Source organism: Homo sapiens, chromosome 13 (genome assembly GCF_000001405.40).
Source record: "Homo sapiens chromosome 13, GRCh38.p14 Primary Assembly".
Lineage (NCBI taxonomy): Eukaryota > Metazoa > Chordata > Mammalia > Primates > Hominidae > Homo > Homo sapiens.
The window spans coordinates 21,308,554-21,325,388 of record NC_000013.11 but is presented as its reverse complement, the minus strand read 5'-3'; the positions used below and the strand labels follow the sequence as shown (position 1 = coordinate 21,325,388).

At 45.1% G+C, this 16,835-nt stretch overlaps 1 long non-coding RNA gene and 2 pseudogenes across 5 annotated transcripts in view; 1 reads left to right on the top strand and 2 right to left on the bottom strand.

The window, feature by feature from the left end:
* The window catches only part of MIPEPP3 (mitochondrial intermediate peptidase pseudogene 3), a 94,799-nt pseudogene that overhangs the window by 67,535 nt on the left and 10,429 nt on the right, over positions 1 to 16,835 (bottom strand). The gene's annotated exons all lie outside the window — the stretch shown is intronic.
* LINC00539 (long intergenic non-protein coding RNA 539) overlaps positions 1 to 16,835 on the top strand; it is a 41,348-nt gene that overhangs the window by 19,471 nt on the left and 5,042 nt on the right. The window contains exons 3-5 of one of the 2 annotated variants that reach the window (NR_103840.1): positions 12,834 to 12,937; positions 13,024 to 13,238; positions 14,271 to 14,347. The exons of the other annotated variant lie outside the window; for it this stretch is intronic. This is a non-coding gene — a long non-coding RNA (long intergenic non-protein coding RNA 539). The remainder of the gene's footprint in view (positions 1 to 12,833; positions 12,938 to 13,023; positions 13,239 to 14,270; positions 14,348 to 16,835) is intronic. 2 annotated transcript variants of the gene reach the window in all.
* GRK6P1 (G protein-coupled receptor kinase 6 pseudogene 1) lies at positions 3,286 to 6,353 on the bottom strand (annotated as a pseudogene). The gene has a single exon (NR_144554.1). The product of NR_144554.1 is annotated as a G protein-coupled receptor kinase 6 pseudogene 1 (transcript).

Here is a 16,835-nt window from a genome sequence, read left to right as displayed (position 1 = left end):
CACATTATGAAGGGTCATTTGCTTTACTCAAAGTTTACTGATTTAAATGTTAATCACATAAAAAAAACCTTCACATCAATGCTGGTGGGTGATTGAAGGTGGTAAGCAAGGAGTGCCAAGGTCAAATTTGGATTTCAGAAAAATCTCTCTGAAACCAGTGATGGGTAGAGGAGAGTGAGATTGCAATCAGAGAGTCCGGTTAAGGGTTGATGTATAAAGATAGGTAGAAGATAGATACAAAGGGACAGTGGATGGTGGGAAGAGGAGAACTGAACAGCACATTGGCAGGAGGAATAAGGAAGAGGGAAAACCGAGGGAAAATCCCAAGTGTCTCATTTGAGAGGCTTAGGGGGATGATGATGTCACCAACTAAAGTCGAGAATGCAGCTGATTTCCCCTTTTGTGGTGGTGAGCCTGGTGCAGCATGAAACAATTCATTTGCTTTTAGGCATGTTGAGTTTTATCTGCCTTTGAGACATCCACACAGGGATTCCAGCAGGCAGTCTGATATGCTAGCATGGAGCTCAAGTCTGGTTGGAATCCAGATTTCTATGTCTGTTTCCATCCAGCAATTAAATTTCCAAGAGCAGTGAACCTTCCCATCACACTTGCATGTCTCGGTCCTAGATCTTCCAAACACGCATGACTATTTGCTTTTGTTTTCCTTTTTGGCCATGTTATCCCAATAAGATCAATTTCAGAAAGGATGTAGGCACCATTGAGGACCCCTTGCTGCACGATAAAGACCCAACTGTAATTCATAACAGACATGAATCGTATTCTACTGTTCTGGGGGTCTAATTTTTTTTTTTAATTCAGAATCTTTGAATCTCTCCCCCAAAGACCTAAGACTAGCTTGAATGTTAGAAGGATCTGTCTCTGGGCTGTATGGAGAAGTGTGGCTGCTATATGAGAGCAGATTCTCATGGAAAAAACATTTTTCCCCCATGGAATTTTCTTCCATGAGTCTAAACCCATCCTGGCTCAGGGCCCTCCCAGTCTCCTGCACTGAGCAAGCAGGTAGGGAGAGAGAAAAGAGGGGTGGTCTGGAGTTTTAGGATCTGCATTTGAATCTCTCCTCTTGATTTGTGACCCTGGGCAAGGCTCTGCCAATCTCTTGTTACCTAGCACCTGGTCTATGCCAGGTCCCAGAGCTTTTTGGGTTCTATCTGGGCCTCAGCATCCACATTGGACAAAAAGGGTAAATATTCCTGCCATGCAGGGTTATTATGACAAATGCAATGAAATAATAAATGTGGAAGGGCTTCTCACAGTGCCTGCCTCAGAGTGGAAACTCAATAAATACTAGGGCATTCTGTGTCTGAAAATCTCACCTCTAATTATTCTCTTTTCCTTCCCTATTATACAAAACAGCAGCAGCAGTAACAGCGACCACAAAATGCACTCCAAGATACTTCTAACCATTTCTTGCTGGGGGAATGTTTGCATCCTTGGTTAGTTAAAACTTTTGTGTTCCTCCCATGTCAGAAGCCCCTGGATCTTGTGTGAAGCTGTGCATTCCCTGATTAGTTTGTTTCTGTCCTTCTGTGGCTTGTTCTAAAGGGCTTTGCTGCTGCCTTCATCTGGGGAAATTCACACACTAATGCAGTGGTATCTCATCCCAATCTATTAGGTGTGACAACTACTGGCAAGAAATAGATTTGTGTTTAATTCTTTGTTGCCCAGCAGGGACCTCTATCACCCAAAGGGAAACAGCCGTCTATCTACGAAGCTGTGATCTCCCCTACAAGCAAGAGAACTCAATTGCCAGGAGGTCTTTGCTTTTTCTGGCTTCCAGAGAATGCAGAAATTTCAAGGAGCCACTATTGGGCTCCTTCCCTATAGGATGTTGGGCCAGGCAACAGAACAAACCTCCTGAGGCACTTCTACCTGGGAATGCCCTCCTGAGGCCAATGGCAGCCCTCTGATGAAGATACTATAGTATTTATTTTTTGTACACGCTGGTGATCATCCAGTGTACATCTCTGCTTAGTGAACCTTCATGAACTGGAGGCTGAATATTCTCATCCTGCATTGATAGAACCACGTAGGCTGGTTCTAGGCTGTTTTCTGTGCAACACTCAACATGACAATAATAATGATGATGATGCTAATGATGATTGTAAAATCCGCAGTAGTTGCCATTTATTGCCCTATTTGGCTTGTAAGACTTGGCAGATCACAGTGACATACACACACACACACTCTCTCTCTCTCTCTCTCTCTACTGTGTGCCAGGGACTGGACAAAGCACTTTGCATGCATTATAACACTTTTCCTAACAATCCTGCAGCAGGCAGCAGTAGCATCCCCGCTTTATAACTAAGGAAGGTAGAGTTCAAAGAGGTGAAGAACTTGCCTTGAAGTTCAAGGCCATACAGCCCAAAGTGGCAGAATCAGACCTGTACCCAAGTCCATCTGCACAAAGCTGGCGCTTCCACCCTGTACAACATGGTGTGTTTCCAGTGGGCTGTGACTCTCTGGTGGTGGAACCAGCCTTGTCAATTGCTGTCTGCCACATCCAGTCTGACCTGGCTGCCTGGGCATTCTCCCACGCCACGGGCAGCAGTGGTTCTTGCTGCCAGGGCTCCAGGGCATGGGCAGCAGATGGGAGGGAAGGAAGGCCAGCTGTGCAGCTCTGCCAAGCTGAGAGGCGGGGTGCCTATTGATTGACTGAAATTCGATTTGTTGACACAAACTGCCAGCATTTCACAGTGATGAAAGGATGGCCCACCAACCTCATAACAAGCAGAGATTTCCCTGAGGGTCACCAGAGCTGCTGATGTGGCTCCTCTGTGAGGAGAAGAAAGCAATTAGGAGAATGGATGAGGTTATTAGGTCTTATTGCTTCCCTCAGCTCCTGCACACACTGAGTGCTGTGCGGCGTGGGATTTCAGGCTCCCTGTCCTACGTGCTGCGGATTCTGTTTGCGCCTCTTCCACTGCAAAAAGCCAGCTGGGGGACAAACAGCTCATGTACGCTGACTCCAAGCATGTGGAGAATGCACACACAGATTTAGGACACCAAAAGAAACCTGCAGGTGGAACCAGCTTTAGCAGACTTTAAAAATAACAAGATCATTGGAGTATAAATACAAATCCATGAATGCATGAGGCACACCCGTCTCTCCCTCGCTTTCTCCATCCCTTTTTATGTTTTGTCACATTACAAATATTTAGACTGGTTTGATTTAAAAGATCTATTCAGGTAAGCTGGCCAACTACACGTCTATGCAGATGGGCAGGGGAGGAAGAGGAGAGGAGGGTATGTTCTGTGAGGACAGCATTGGTTTAGCAAGTGTTTATCAAAATCTGGAATATGCACAGCAGTAGGGGTGGGTGTATGAGGGGGAGAGGTAAGAAAATATCAGGAATAATGTCACCTTATATTGTATAAGTGGGTTTTTGCAGCAAAATATACATAACATAAAATTTACCATTTAACCATTTTAAGTGCACAGTTCAAGAACATTAAGTACTTTCACATTATGTATGGCACAGCCATCACCACCATCCACACCATCCATCTTCAGAACATTTTTATCTTCCCCAACTGAAACTCTGCCCTCATTAAACAATATCTCCCTATTCCCCACTGCCCCCAGCTCCCGACAACCAACATTCTACTTTCTGTCTCTATGAATTTCACTACTTTAGGTGCCTCATATAAGTGAAATCACGAAGCATTTGTCCTTTTTTTTTTTGCTGGGCACATGTGTCTAGTGTTATGAGAGGAGTTGGGAATGTTTGAGGGTTGGCCAGGGATGCCCCACCCCCTCCTAGGGGCTGGGCTCGGGCGTTTCTGAAACGTCCCTGAAAGCATCAGGGACCAGGCCCTGGGAGCTGGAAGGTAGAGGCAGACCTATCTGGGCCGGCCGGGGCAGTGGGCTGATGGGTCTCACAGCCGGCCCAATCTCTGGCCACTTTGGCACAGGCCTAGGGGATATACAGGCCCCAGATCCAGCTCTGACAAGTACTGAGAAGGGACAGCTTTAGTCCCCAGAGGGCAGAAGCCTGAGTCCAGGGCAGCAGGGGCAGGCACAAGTCTTACTCAGAGGCTAGGGGTGGTCAGCACCGTGCTGAAGGCTCAGGGGTGTGATCCTCAGCCATCCAAGCTGGGTCGGAGGAGCCTTAAGTTTGGCAGTGGCTCCTCTGCCAGCTCCCGCTCTCCCAGCCAGGGCTGGCTGCCCCCAGGAGCCAAGGAGGGGGCGCCAGGTCTGTGGCAGGAACTAAGAATGCCCTGGTCACTATATACATTGGTACAAATACATAAATACAGAAAGCCCCGAGCTCCACGGAGAAGAGCTGAAGGGACGCACCTTTGTCCCAGGGATGGCCCAGGCCCTGCCAAACTCAGGCAGGCCAGGGGCTGAGGGGGCAGAGGACACTGGGGACAGTTCCGTCTGTGTTCCCCAGGCCACAACTTGAGTGGACAATGGGGAAGTCCACTGTGCAAAACTGTAAAAGGCACTCGGAGTAGCTACTACCGCCCACTGCCCGTGGGGGCCTCTGGCTGGGGGCTAGAGGCGGGTAGGGAGCTCTTCCTCGCTGTCCCCGCAGTTTCCACAGCAATCCTTTGGCGACTGAAGAGTCTCTGCAGCAGTCCCTTGCAGGTGGCTGGCCCTTCCAGTCCAGGTCTGGGGGAACTGAGCCATCCAGCCCAAAGACATTCAGCTCCTGGAAGCACTCAGTCTCCACCATCCCCTTCTGCCAGGGGATGGGCACACTGCCTGTGGCAAACTTCTGGTAGAAGTCTTGGTCGGTAGCCTCCAGCTCCACACCCTTGACCCTAGAGAACTGTTTAATGTCCAGAATATCCTTGCAGTAAATGGCCCGAGGGTCAGGCTTGAAGGGCGGCTCCAGCATGCCGGCTCCCACCCGCTTGAAGTTCAGCTTCTTCAACAGGGGGTGCTCCTTCACTTCGCGGGCACTGCCCCCACGACACCCCAGGCGTTCAGCGGGGTCCTTGCAGAGGAGCTGTGAGCAGGCCTGCGGGGAAAAGCGCTCGGAATACTCCTCGGGGTCCTCCTTCACCAGCCGCTCCACCTCCTCCCGCTTGATCATCTTCTTCCTCTGCTGGAAGAGCGACTGGCCTGCAATCATCTCCTGCGGGAGGCAGCCTAGCGCCCAACAGTCAGAGCTGAAAGTGTACGGTTCATTCTTCACCACCTCTGGAGCCATGTAGCTCACGGTGCCCACACGGCCTTTGATGGTCTGGCCCTCGGGCACGTGCACAGCCAGTCCCAGGTCGGAGACGAGGATGTGGCCGTGGTCATCCAGCAAGATGTTCCTGGCTTCAGGTCCCTGTACACTATGCGCTCCCGGTGCAGGTCCTCCAGACCGCAAGCAGATCTCGGGACGTAGAAGACGGCCTGCGCTTCGGGGAAGCCAGCCCGGCCCATGTGGCAGATGTGGAAATTGAGGTCGCCCCCGTTCATCAGCGTCAGCACCAGGCACAGCGCCTCCTTGGTCTCACAGGTGTAGGCCAAGCTCACTATAAACCTACTGTTCACTCTCTCCAGGATCTGCTTCTCGTTCAGCGCCATGGCCTCCCCTTTCTGCTTCTTGATCCGCTTTTTTTCTAGCTTCTTGAAGGCGTACATCTTGCCTGTGGCCCGCACCTGGCAGGCGCACACCTCCCCAAAGCCACCTTTGCCCAGGACTCGGTACTGCCTGAAGGTATTTTTGGTCACTGGCTGCCTTTCCAGCCACTTCCACTGCAGGAAACGGTTGAAGTAGATGCTGTTGAGGTAGTCGGCAAAAGGGGCCATGCTCAGGTACCCGTGGGTCACCCGGGTGAGTTCCTGGGAGAGTTCTTTGCAGGGCCCCTGCTCCAGCCGCTGGGTGCAGTTCGTCACCAGCTGCCGGGGGGACCTCAGGGATGAGGTCAGGAACCTGTGGCTCAAGAAAATTCTGCATTAGCCGCCGCCCACATGCCTTCCGCTTCTCATCCGGGGTCGCTTCATACTCGGCCATCCCATCCTGGAAGGCGATGCAACGGCTCAGCTCCGGCCTGGTGGCACAGAACTCTCAGAACAGCAGGCGCCCGATGGGCTGCCGCTCGCACAGGCTGTGATAGTCACGTTCGAGACTGAGCCGCAGCTCTTCGCACTGGCTGATGTGGGGGAACTGGAGCATCTGCCGCCATTTCTTGCTTTTGCCTTTGCGATTTCCACCGCTACCTTCCCGGGCCTTGAGGAGCACCGTGTCCGCTACGATGTTCTCGAGCTCCATGGGCCGCGCTGCCGGCCGGGATCGCGCGCGAGTGCCCAGGCCGGATGGCGATCGGCGCGGCTCTGCTCGGCTCCCAGCGCGGCGGCTGCCACCCACTCCCCCACCTCTCCCGCCCCGCCTCCCCAGCCATCGCCTGCGTTTGTCCTTTTGTGACGGGCTTATTTCACCGAGCATAATGTTCTCAAGGGCCATCCGTGTGGTATAGTATGTGTTGGAATTTCCTTCCCTTTAAAGGCTCAGTAATATTCCATTCTATGGCTAGGCCACATTTTGTTTATTCATCATCGGTTGATGAACACTTGGGTTGCTTCCATCTTTTGCCTATTGTGAATACTGCTACTATGAACATGAGTGTAAAAGGATCTGCCTGAGATCCTGCTTTCAATTTCGGGAGATAATTTCCAGAAGTGGGACTGCTGGATCATACAGTAATTCCATGTTTAATTTTTTTGAGGAATTGCTGTAACTTTTTTTCTACAGTAGCTTCATCATTTTACTATTTTACATACCCACCAGCAATGTGAAAGTGTTCCAATTTCTCCACGTCCTTGTCCACACTTGTTATTTTCTGGGTTTTCTTTCTGGTTCTTTTTTTTTCCATAATAGTCATTCTAATGGGTGTGAAAAGGTATCTCATTGTAGTTTTCATTTGCATTTCCCTAATGATTGGCGATGTTGAGCATCTTTTCATGTGCTTATCGGCCATTTGTATATCATCTTTGGAGAGATGTCTATTTAAGTTCTTTGTCCATTTTTAATTGAGTTGTTTTTACTGTTATGTTGCTTTTTATTTTTATAATGGCTAGGTTTAGAGTTGTGGATTTACCCCATTTTGTGGAGAAAATGAAGGTCATGGAAGTTCAGGAACTTGCCTGATGTCTCCCAGTTGGGTGGGACTGAAGTGCAGCCTTTTGGCTTCTTTTTTTTTTTTCCGTATTTTTCTTTTATTTTATTATTATTATACTTTAAGTTTTAGGGTACATGTGCACAACGTGCAGGTTTGTATGGCATATGTATACATGTGCCATGTTGGTGTGCTGCACCCATTAACTCATCAGCCTTTTGGCTTCTGACCCTGTCTTTCTCCTCTGCTCATGCTGTCTACTCCCAGATGGCGAGATGTGGTTCACACCTTTCAGACTTCACATTTGACTTAGGAACAATACAGGATGACGTAAAAGATGTGTCAAATGAAGGTTACAGAAGATGAATTTTATGGACATTCAGAAAAAGGGGCCTGCTGTATGGGTCATTTGGGAAGGTTCTGTGACAAAGGGGAACCAGAGGTGAACATTAAAAAATAGTGTGATAGCAGCTAACGTCAAAATCAATGGGGAAAAACTGAAAGCTTTCCCTCTAAGATCTGGCACAAGGCAAGGATGTCCACGCTCACCACTTCTATTCAACATAGTGCTAGAAATCATAGCCAGAACAATGAGACAAGAAAAAGAAAGACATCCAAGTTGGAAAGGAAGAAGTAAAATTATCCCTATTTGAAATGGATGATATGGTTATATACATAGAACCCCCTAAAGACTCAACCAAAAACTGTTACAGCTAATAAATACATTCAGTAAAGTTGCAGGATATAAAATCAATATATGCAAATCAGGTGCATTTCTATACATAAACAGTTAGCTGACAAGGAAATCAAGAAAATAATCCCATTCACAAAAAAGATGAGAATACTTAAAAATAAATTTAACCAAAGAGATGAAACACTTGTACACGGAAATTGTAACAACAATGAAGGAAGTTAAAGAAGATACAGATAAGTGGAAAGATACCCATGTTGACTGAAATAATTAATATTGTTGAAATGTCTAAACTACCCAAACTGATTTACAGATGCAAAGCAATCCCTATCAAAATCCCAATGATGTCCTTTACAGAAATAGAAAAAACTACTCTAAAATTCATATGCAGCCAGGTACAGTGGCTCTCACCTCTAATTCCAGCATTTTGGGAGGCCAAAGTGGGTGGCTCACTTGAGGTCAGGAGTTTGAGACCAGCCTGGCAAACATGGTAAAACCCCACCTCTGCTAAAAATAGAAAAGTTAGCTGGGCATGGTGGCAGATGCCTGTAATCCCAACTACTTGGGGGGCTGAGGCAGGAGAATCACTTGAACCTGGGAGGCAGAGGTTGCTGTGAGCCGAGATTGCTGGACTGCACTCCAGCCTGGGCCACAGAGCAAGACTCTGTCAAAAAAAAAAAAAAAAAAAAAAAAATCATATGGAACTACAAAACACCCAAGTAGCCAAAGCAATCTTGAGCAAGAAGAACAAAGCTGGAGGCATTACCCGCTCTGATTTCAAAATATATTACAAAGTTATAGTAACCAAAATAACATGTACTGGCATAAAAACAGACACATAGAACAATGGAAAAGAACAGAAAGCCCAGAAATAACTCACACATGTGGTCAACAAATCTTCAACAAAAGTGCCAAGAATATATAATGGGGAAAAGTCTCTTCAATAAGTGGTGTTGAGAAAACTGGATATCCCCAGGCAAGAAAATGAAACTGTATCTTTATCTTACACCATACACAAAGATGAACTCAAAGAGACTGAAACATAGCCCTGAAACTGTAAAAACTCCCAGAAGAAAATATAGGGGAAAAGCTTCATAACACTGGTCTTGGCAATGACAGTTTGGATATGAAACCAAAAGCACAAAGGAACAAGTGAGACATCAAACTAAAAAGTTTCTGCACAGCAAAACAATCAACAGCAACAAAAAGCAACCTACAGAATGGGAGAAAATATTTGCAAGCCATACACATTAATATCCACAATATATGAGTAACTAGTACAACTCAAAAGAAAAAAATAAAACTTGATTAAAAAGTAGACAGAGGAGTTGAGCAGACATTTTTCCCAACAAGACATACAAATAACTAACAGGTACATGAAAAGATGTTCAACATCACTAATCATCAGGGAAGTGATAATCAAAACCACTATGAGATGTCACTTCACACCTGTTAGGATGGCTATTATCAGAAAGACAAGAGATAACAAATATTGGTGAAGATGTGGAGCAAAGAAAACCCTTGTCCATGGTCGATGGGAATGTAAATTGGTAGAGGCATCATGGAAAACAATATGGAAGTTTCTCAAAAAAAAAGGAAAAATAGAACCACCATGTGATCAGCAATCCCATTGTGAGGTCTATATCCAAAGGAAATGAAATCAGTATCTTAAAGAGATATCTGTTCCTTGCAGCATTATTCACCATAGCCAAGATACAGAAATCACCTAAATGTCCATTGACAGATGAATGGATAAAGAAAATGTTGCATATACATATGCAATGAAATATTATTCAGCCTTTAAAAAGAAGGAAATTCTGTTACTTGTGACAACATAAACCTGAAATCCAAAAATGTCAAACTCATAGAAACAGAGAGTAGAATAGTCGTTACCAGAGGCTGAGTGGGGAGGGATATGGGAAGATGTTGGTCAAAGGGTATGAGCGAGGTCTGTTATGTAAGGTAAATAAGGTCTGGAGAACTACGTACAACAATGTGACTACAGTTAATAATATTGCAGACTTGAAATTTGCCAAGAAGTTAGCTGTTAAGTGTTCTCACCAAATCAAAAAATGATAATGATGTGAGGTGATGAACGCATTAATTTGCTTGATTGTTGTGGACAGTTTACAACATACACATATATTGAATCACTGAATTGTACACCTTAAATATATACAATTTTTAATTGTCAACTATACCTCAATAATGTTGGAAAGAAAGAATAGTGTGAAATATTTTATATAAATGTATTAGCTTCTTAGGGTTGCCATAATGAAAGTACTTCAAATTGGGTGGCTTAAAACAACAGAAATTTAATTTCTCACAGTTCTGGAGGCTGGAAGTCCAAAATCAAGGTGTTGGCATGACCATGTTCCCTCTGAAACCTGTAGGGGATTCCATGCCTCTGCTAGCTTCTGGTGGTTTGTGGGTAATCTTTGGCATTTCTTGGCTTGCAGCTGCATAACCTCAGTCTCTGCCTCTGTTGTCACATGGCATTCTCCCTGTGTGTGTCTCTGTTTTCACAGGGCTGTCTTTCATTCTTTTCTTTTCTTGTTTTTGTTTGTTTTTTGTTTTTTTTAAGACAGAGTCTTGCTCTGTTGCCCTGGCTAGAGTGCAGTGGTGCAATCTCGGCTTGCTGCAACCTCTGCCTCCCAGGTTCAGGTGATTCTCTTGCCTCAGCCTCCCGAGTAGCTGGGATTACAAGTGCCTGCCACCGTGCCCAACTAATTTTTTTGTATTTTTAGTAGAGACTGGGTTTCACCATCTTAGCCAGGCTGGTCTCAAACTCCTGACCTCATGATTCACTCACCTTGGCCTCCCAAAGTGTTGGGATTACAGGCGTGAGCCACCGTGCCCAGCCCGTGGCTGTCTTTCTGTAAGGACATCAGTCATGTCAGACCAGGGCCCACCCTACTCCAGTATGACCTCATCTTAATTTAAGTATACATTTGCAACAATCCTGTTTCCTAATGAAGTCAGTTCTGAGGTACTGAGAGTTAAGATTTCAACATCTCTTTCTTGCACGGGGAGGGGAGACTGATTTAGCCCCTACCAATAAGAGAAAAAATACTATAGCACAGTCTGGATGTAGTGATTTCTTTCTACAGTCCACACACACACACACACACACACACACACACACACAGAGCTGATGCAAGCACATGCTGTCAATGCAAAGGAAAAAGACAGATGTCTCCCTACGCTTTTCTAAGCTTTTATATATTATACCTCACATTGTCAGCTCTAAAATCCTGTATCTAATACATTTATCTATCTAATAGATTTTTTAGATCTAATACATTTATTTATTTGGTAATAAATAAATAATAAATTTACCAACTGTCTTGGTGAAAAGGAGTGCATGCTGGATGACGGATGAGGCCTTGAATAATGGCCTTCCCTGTCACTATGGCCACTCTCCACTCAAGGATCTATTGTACAAGAATTGGGGTGGCTGGGGACAGAGATGACTGACATCTACCAGCCAGTTAGCCGGTTCCTCTGTCTACCTGCTTAGTGAGTGTCCTGTCTGTGCCAAATCTTCTCTAGTGGCAATGATGTGAGACACAAAGATCTGCACATTTTGTGGCCACTTTCAACAGTTCATCTACATGCTTCTTCCCAGACCACTTTGTCTCTGATCATCTAAACTTGCCCCTTCTAAACCCCAGACCAAGACCAGCCAAGTTATTTGCCACTACATGGAAGTCCATATATATCCTTATCTCATACCACTTCTGGCATACAAAGTGGACAAACAAGAATACTGCTCACAGCTCTACCCTCTAGGAGGGTTTCCCCTCATCACTGTCCTTTAGGGCCACCACTGAGTTGGGTGGTAGTGTTGACAGCTGCCCATTCTCAGGCAGCATTGAGTATCTGAACCAATCTATCCATGAACCAGGAATGAGCTGTGTTGTTCCTCCTTCATCAGTGAATCATAGAGTTCCCTCACTCCTGCCCCCATATTTATAGATGTGAGCTGAGAGACATGTCAGGACAGCAGAGGTAGGTGACATGGAGCCCTGGGCCACCCTATACCCTCTGGACTTGCTCAGATCTGGTCCTGAATATACCATTTCCATCATACCTTACCACCTTGTTGGATCTGACAATGTCCAGCTCGTAATAGGAAACTCCTATCATATAATCACTTGATGTCCCACTTTCAGGTGCTTGATCTCTCTTGACCCCTTATCACATCAGAAGCTGTTTTTCTGAGTAGTGAGTAATTAAACAATAAATAGTCTCTTGAATGGAGTAGACATGCCTTTCTCCAGAACCCTACCCATTCTGTACTGCAAATCTATTAGGGTTTGTCCAAGATTTCCTATAGCATCCTTTCCTACCATGGATACCCCGAGCACTGTTGGATCTGTTGAATTATATGGCCTCAACAGCAGAGTATGTTGTCCTGAAGCCTAGAATTTCTTCAGTTTTCTTATGCTTTGGGTTCCACTCAAAACTGGTAGACTTCTAATGACCCAAGAAATGAGTCAAAGAAATAATCTCAAGTGCAATATTGGCTGCCTCCTAAAATCCAAAGTCGCCCACCAAACCATATAACTTTTCATAGGGGTAATTGTTTACCTTAGGATGCTGCAAACCATGGGACTCCTAAAATCTTCATCAATATGGCAGGACTTTGATACTGTAAATGATTTATGTTTCACCTTCATGTGTTTTACTATGACATCCAGAGTACCGGCCACTTTCTGTTCACCAAGTCCAATTAGCATAATGTCAACAACATAGTATACCAGCATGATATGTCAAGGTGACAGAGAGAAAGAGAATACATATAGCCTTGGGGAAAGACAGTGAATGTGTACTCAAATCCTTTCTTAATGAGACAGAACTGATCTTGACCATCCTTCCTGAGGAGGTTGGAAGATGACTTGTTTGCCAGATGGATAGCCACAACCCAGGAACCAAAGGCTGTGCTGCTCTGTTCCAGTAAAGATACCACATCCAATTAGGTAGCTACATACAATTGGGACGCAACTTAGATAACGTTCCGGTAGTCTGCTGTTATTCACGAAAATCCATCTGTTTTTTGCAGAGACCATGTAGATGGATTGAATGGGGATATGATGAGGATGACCACCCCTGCATTTGCTAAGTTCTTGGGAGTGGCATCGATCTCAGCCATTCCACTGGAATAGGGTATCGCTTTGATTTTCTATCTTTGGTGGGAATGGGCACTTTCTGGGTTTCCATTTGTTTCTTCCTTCCTGGTTCTTATTTCACAGGTCAGGAAACAAAACGTGAGGGCTCTACCAGCTGCTCAGTCTATCCTTTCCAATTGAGCACACTGGAACTGAGGAAGCAAAGACAGGGTGAGCCCTAACACCCTCATCATCACTGCTGAGCCTGCCTTGACAAGAACTCCATTTATCACCCGCCTCCATAATAGCCCATTCTAACTAGCTGTCATCGTGGCATTTCAGGTTCTGCTGATGTCATTGTAAGGTTAGACCCTGTATACCCTGAAAAATCTGTATATTTCCATTTTCTTAGTGTAAAGTTACACAGGTCCCTTTGGGGGAAGGTTTGTGGCACTGCAGGGTTTTTTTTTCAAGGGGGCCCGGCCTCCCCTTCAATCACTAGGCCAGGGGCCCGAGAACTGACTCAAATCTGGGAGCTAGGTGAGGGATTATCATTTTTCTTTTTGGCAGCAGACATCAGATTTCAGCTTACCTTCTCTTAATATTTTTTCTGGTTACACAAGTCAAGAAATATTCACAGTGGGTACTCACCCATCTTTCTTCTAGAAATGCCCTATGTGTACAGGACCCTGGCTGGCACGTTGGCCTTGCTGCCATATGGTAGTCATATTCACTTTGTGGTAGTCATATTCACTTTGATGGCAAATGCTGCGACTTGGCCTCTGCTACTCCAAAATATCTTCATCTTCAGTAATATTAGAGAGGTCAGTTCTGTGGCAGCATTTTCTACTGTGAACCATAGACCACGGAAGACAATCACTAGTGAGATTCCCAACAATGCTGGTGGCCCCTCACCAGTGAGTTTCTTGTTTTTGTATAAAGGGCATGTCCTCTTGGCCTCACAGGGAACAAGATCAGGGTCTCTGGTCTTGCATAATAAAACCTCCCTGGACTGTCTGACTCCTTCCTCAATACCATGCCATGGCAAATATGGCATCTTTCCCCCAGGGAAAGATGATAAGGCTGTCATCTTATCCAAGCTTCAAGAAACCTCTGACCAGCATTATTAGGATAGGCACAATTGTCCTTTTGAGGACAGTGAATTATAGGATAGAGTCAGTAGACCTTCCCTAGTCAATCTTATGTATAATACCCAAACCTCCTGACCCAAAACTCTCAAGATCTGCCCCCTATGTGTTTCTCTGACTTCTCCTGGTAAGAATTAGGCCCTTCAACTCCTGATGAGTAAACCAGTCATCAAATACTTGGTGAAGAGCTTTCATCAACTGCCTTTGCAATGGGACTTCATTTCCTTCTCTGGGGTTTTGCAGATAATGGACCTTAACTAGTGGGCTGAAGGCAATGAGGGGATGTGAGGATGCATCTTGTGAAGGACAAAAGTCATCCTGTAAGTAGTCCCCTCAGGTGAGGACTTCCTGTGGTACCCAGGTAATGGAAAACCACAAATCTGACTGGAGGTCTCGACATCCTTTATAGCAGTAGACCAAATGTTAGCTACATCTACCAACACTTCCAAAACTTTTTATGGAACAAACAGCGACAAATACCAAATGCCAAGTAACCAAGTTACAACACCTCACTTCCTTTAGGCGGTGCTGTCAGAAGCATGGTTCAATTCTCACTTTCAAGTTTGAGGTAACTCTAGACCCACGCCCTGCCCTCCAAAACTGTAGAAAAAATACTGCGAAAGATGTCTTCTTCATGTTCCTCAAGGTAGTTATTCTCACCCAGAGAGCGGCAAGTACTTGGAATCTTCCTGATATTTTTTTCTCCTCCAGAGTTTTAGTGATGAAAGATGTTGGGAGAACACAGAATGCTAAGCCCCACAAATCTTGCTGGAGAGATCTCCTAGAGAAATCAGAATCTTTCAAGATTGTTTTAGAGAAATACGCTACCACTCTGACTCCATTCTAACAACTCCTCTGTGACCCAGCTGGCCTGACAAACTAAATCATGATACTCTGCAAAACATATCCTTTCACACATGAATGCCCACGGCAATGTTTCCTAACCATTCATGAGTCATAAAACCTATGGCAGAAACCATTCTACGTGTTCACCAAAACATTTCATTTTCCCTCTGGGCACCAGGAAAACTTTTTTTTTTTTTTAACTTTTTCTAATCTAAGTGAGGCTATGTAAGGAGTTCTGCATAATAAAATGTGGGCAAAATTGATGTCAGCCACTTCCAGATCATGCCCTTAAAGTGTCCTACAGAATTATCATCCACACTCTATGTCTGTTATCATTAGCTGTCAGGATGCAGAGTATCAAAAAAGGACTTTAACTTATTTATTTATTTTTTGAGACGAAGTATCACTTTGTCACCCAGGCTGGAATGCTGTAGCGTGATCACAGCTCACTGCAACCTTGACCTCCCAGGCTCAAGCTATCCTCCCACCTCAGCCAAAGTAGCTCACACTACAGTCGCATGCCACCACTCCCGGCTAATGTTTGTATTTTTTATAAAGAGGAGGTTTCACCATGTTGCCTAAGCTGGCCTTGAACTCCTGGGCTTGAGTGATCTGCCTGTCTTGGCCTCCCAAAGTGCTGGATTACAGGCATGAGCCACCATGCCCAGCCCAAATGAAGAACTTGGAGTCCATGGTGAAAGGCAGAACCTCCCCAACTCAACTGAGCTGGTCATGAGTGAAAAGTACATCTTTAAGCCACACCTTTCAAATGGGTCAGCAAATTTGATAAATTTGGCAAATTTCAGCTATTCCCACCCACTACGTATACCTCTCTTACAATTTATAGTAAGGGAATTAGCACTTTCTATGGGAATTTAAAAGGTGTTAAAATATATACTGGGGGGAAAGAAATTTAAGAAAAAGTGGTGGTTCTTAATGGTTTAAGAAACTTAATGGTCAAACATTTCTAAGAATGCTTGCCCCTGGGTAATATTTCTAACTGGTCAAGTCACAATTATTACAGAATGGATCTCCCCAGTATCAATTGCTTCCCTATAGCTTCTATGTGCAGCATATTTATGCCCTGAGTGTATAATGTCTGGCCGTAATGACAGGAAAGGTTGGATTCTAGGGGTGGAATACATCAAATCGCTAGGATGTCACCAAGCCCACTGTGTGGGTTAAATGCTACAGGCAGAGGGTTGTGCCACCCATTCCCCACCTTCCCTAACTCCCATCCTACCCAAAGCTTCAGCCAAAAGGAAGAAAATGCCTCCCACATGGCCACAGGCTGAAGTGCAGCCCCTCGGTGGCCAGAAGTCACTCACATGCAGGCAAAGATGATGTTAACAATACAAAGAATCAGAAAAAGACTGAATTCCTTAGATCAATCTGTTTAGCTTCAAAAGCTAGAATCTCAAAAGTCTATCTCCTGCTGACTTTATTTGTCTTTCAACTTTTCAATGCCATTGCTCCTGCCTGAACAAAAGACAAGAAAGTCCAGTCTCATCCCAGAATAGACAGAGCTCTACACCACTGCGGGACTAGAGATTATTCCTCATGCTGGGCAGGGCAGGGTAGAAAGAATAGAACCCATCAAAGCAAGAGGTGGCTAATTCCCCCAACAAAACTAAATTAACAATATTAGCCCAAGTGAGGAAGCTGAATCTTCTCAGGGTGTTAAACAGTTTGTTCTGTTTTCTATATTAAAGACCCAAGTGTAGTTTATTGTTTTTATGGAGCTAAGTTAATTCACATGTTAAATTTAAAAGGTTGGGTGAGACAGGAGATTTTGTTTGTTTCTAGTATTATTTGGCAGAGTATAAAAGTCCCTGGACTTAGAATTGGAAGGCTTGGCCTCAAATCCACACCCTTCCTGGTACCAGCCCAGTGCCCCTGGGCAATCACTCAACCCATCTCCTTCACTGGCGGTTGTGGCAGCCCTTCTCAAGCAGCGTTGAG